Source organism: Homo sapiens, chromosome 1 (assembly GCF_000001405.40).
Source record: "Homo sapiens chromosome 1, GRCh38.p14 Primary Assembly".
Classification (NCBI taxonomy): domain Eukaryota; kingdom Metazoa; phylum Chordata; class Mammalia; order Primates; family Hominidae; genus Homo; species Homo sapiens.
In genome coordinates this window covers 163,033,395-163,036,916 of record NC_000001.11, presented here as the reverse complement: position 1 = coordinate 163,036,916, position 3,522 = coordinate 163,033,395, and the positions used below count along the sequence as shown (strand labels likewise).

The following is a 3,522-nucleotide window of genomic DNA, read 5'->3' as shown; positions in this document are numbered from 1 at the left end:
TGCCCTCATAGGTAGGTTAATGTCACTGTGGTGGAAGTGGGTGAGTTATCACAGGAGTGGATTTCTGATAAAAGAATGAGTTCAGCCTCTTTCCCCTCTTTCTTGTGTGCACTCCCTTACTCCTCTGCCACCCACCACGGGATGACAAAGCAAGAAAACTCTTTCTGGATGTGGGCTCCTTAACCTTTGACTTTCCAGTTTCAAGCACTGTAAGAAATAAATATATGTTCTTTATAAGTTACCCAGTCTGTGATATTCTAGTTCACAACTGTTACAGAAGTTATTGAAAAAGGCAATGGACTGATTTGGAAAGATGCTCAAAATATATTGTTAAGTGAACTAGAAAATGGCAGGATTATATATATAGTAGACTCCCCACTAAAGCACTTATGCATATACTTATATACACTTGTGAATTTATGGACAATAGTAAGATGTGGGTGTGGATGTTTCTAGTAGATAGAAATGGCCTTGAGGGCAAGGTTAACTTTTACTTTTTATTTTTTGCTTTTTACTTTTATTTTTGTATAGTAGCATGTATTACTTTTATAATAAAAATAATTAATAGTAACTTTGTAACATTGGCTTTGAAAAGTAATTTGCTTTTTAGGAGACACAGTAACAGGTGAGTCAGGTTCTGTCTTCTATACCATGCTGCCTCTGGGCAGAAACAAGGCTTTTCTGCAGCACATTGATGTTCCCAAGGCAGGCTTTAATGGCCCCCCTGCTTTCCATCAAACAAAGGGAAACCTCTGTGAGAGGTGGCAGAGAGCCATGGAAGGAAGGGCAGGAGGCTGAGAAAGTATCTGAGGATGAAGCATCACCAACCATGAGGCTGCACATTGCTTTCTCTTACTAATGATGATAATATCAGCTCTCATTGTCTGACAAAACTGAGGCTTTTCAGAAGCTGCATTTCCCACACTGAGGTCAAGATACTTCTATTGCCAAGGAAGGGTAAATGGATAGGAGGAGGCAAATTCTCCAGGGATGAGGATAGTGCCGGAAGTGGAGGTAAGTGAATTATGGGCTGATGATTCAGCAGCAAATCACCCATGGAAATGTCCCACCCACCTCCGGAGGCTGATTATTTTTCAAGGAACTTTGAGGGTCAAGACAACCACCTATGTTCCCAGGAGGTGGTAGAAAAATGTGCGTCTCAAACTTTTTACTTCCTAAGAATTCCTAACATTAGATGTGCCTCCCTACAAATTGAACTTGGTGTCTCATGTTTTCTTTAAATCCACATGATTTTTAAATCCTATTCTATGACTCATCTGTGTTGGTTATAGTAGAAAAATAATTTGTGTTCCCTGTATTTTCAATGATATCTGTTGAGTAGGAAAATAAGCTGTGTGTATTCCCTAAGGCATATTCAATTATTATTGGGTAGAAAGGAGGTTTTGAATTAGGCATACCTGGCTTTGATCTGCTTGTCACATATTTTTGCTCATGTTATTTAATACCTGAACTGCAACTTTCCTAACATCTATAAAGGAAAATAGTAATTTCATCTCTCTAGAATCTTATGAGAGCTAAATAGAAAAAAATATATCTCAGTACCTTTCACATAATGGGTATTAATTTAAGTGTTAAATTTTTCACTTTAAAATTGTTTTAAAATCTGAAAAAAACACCAATATTTATGAGTTCTACATTACTTAGAATTAGTTCCAGCAGTGTACTTAATAAAATAACAGTGGCTTAAACAGGATGGATTTTAATTTTTCTCTCATGTAAGAGAAATTTGAAGGATTATAGTCCAGAGCTGGTTTCAAAAGAAGAGACTCAAAATTCCTTCTGTATTTCTGATCCGCCATTTTTAGCACATTGCTTTCATGCTCAAGAGTGCCTAATGGTCCATGATGGTAGCTTCAGCTACAGCCGTCATATGCAAATTCCAGGCAGAATAAAGAAAGGTAGAAGGAAAGGGCAACACCCAATTACCCTGATTTGATCATTACCCATTATATGCTCACATCAAAACATCACATGTACCCCACAAATATGCACAACTAGTATATATCTATAATAATTAAAAATAAAAAACTTTAAACAAAGACTGAGAAATATTTTAATTAGGTACAATGCTTCCCCAAATATAGATGATATTCTGTTAGTAAGGATGAAGGAGAGAACTGATATTAAGCAAGCAATCAGTAGTCTCTGCCACAACTAGCTATTATGACACGCTAATAGCTAACGTTTATTGAGTGGTTACTATTAACATAAGCATTTGGGGCTCATGATGTAGGTACTCTCTTCTTCCTTTTAGAGATGATATAACAGAGGCTTAAAGAGGGTAAGTTAATAAGCAGCAAAGCTAGGATTTGCACCAAGGCAGGGTGTCAGGAGAGCCAACTTTCTTAAGTGAGCTGCTGTCCAGTGCTATGGCTGGGGATTCTCACATATAGTTTTAATAGATTTTCCAAATACCAATAGGAAAGTTGAAATTCTAAAGCATAAAATGGTCAGTTATTTGATGGAATTGCTGATGCCAATCAGTCGTGTGTTTGAAGATACTGGTTTTGCTAAAGTGATTGGATCTCTGGCTGGCACTTCATTCTATAACTATGACTAAAGCATAGTCAAATATAGTCTCCAGTCTTGGTATTTTGATCTTAAGGAAGAAACTTTCTCTGGCTTGAAGGCAAGTTATGTATATTCATTCAGTCTTGCATTCATTCTTTCATTGTACCATAAAGAATTTTTGAATTGATTCTATCTAAGAACCTAGGAATACAAAGATTATAAGGCAGCATCCCTATCCTTAAAGCTCATAGATAGAGCAGTTGCCTTTAAGTAATTCAATCACAACCCAAAGGAAGAAGGTGAATATAGTTAATAATTAATAATGTGTTGAATATTTTGAAACAGCTGAAAGGGAGAATTTTAAATGTTCTCACCACAAAAAATGATAAATATTTGAGATGATGCATATGCTAATTACCCTGATTTGATTATTCCACAATGTACACATGTATTGTAATATCACCTTGTACCCCATAAATATATACAATTATTATTTGTCAATTAAAAATAAAACTCAAAAAATACATTTTGTATTGCAGCCCCATACACTTCCTACTCACACAACACACTCAAAATTTTATGAAACATTTATTCTTACTCTATGAAATGTACTCTGATATTTTCTATGTATTCTATTCTGTTCTTCCTTTTAATGTGGAATGCCATAACTAAAATTAATTCAAGGTACTGATGAGTTGTGACCTATAATTTTAAGAACACACATCTATGGAAAAAGAAAGGCAATTAAACTAATAAGTTCAATATAATATGGAAATACTCTAAGAGCTGTATGAACAATGAGGCCTTGAACTGCAAAGAAAAAGACTAACTCTTCCTGGGGGATGTTGGGGTGCATTCTGAATTGAGTCTTAAGGGATAAAGGGGAAATTGTCATGTGGAAAATGGGAGGAAGGACATTCCAAGCAAAGGAAACAGCATGTGATTTGTGTGTAGGTGTGAGAGAGAATGGTAGAAAGCCAAGCAAGTGAG

General features: G+C 35.8%; 1 annotated feature.

Annotated features, from left to right (window-relative positions):
* Window positions 361-1,560: an enhancer, noted in NCBI's record as "P300/CBP strongly-dependent group 1 enhancer chr1:163005147-163006346 (GRCh37/hg19 assembly coordinates)". NCBI's record gives its function as "activates an origin of replication core promoter dependent on BRD2, BRD4, P300/CBP, MED14 and CDK7 cofactors, with strong dependence on P300/CBP, by STARR-seq in HCT116 cells {active_cell/tissue: HCT116}" and the evidence as "EXISTENCE:reporter gene assay evidence [ECO:0000049][PMID:35650434]".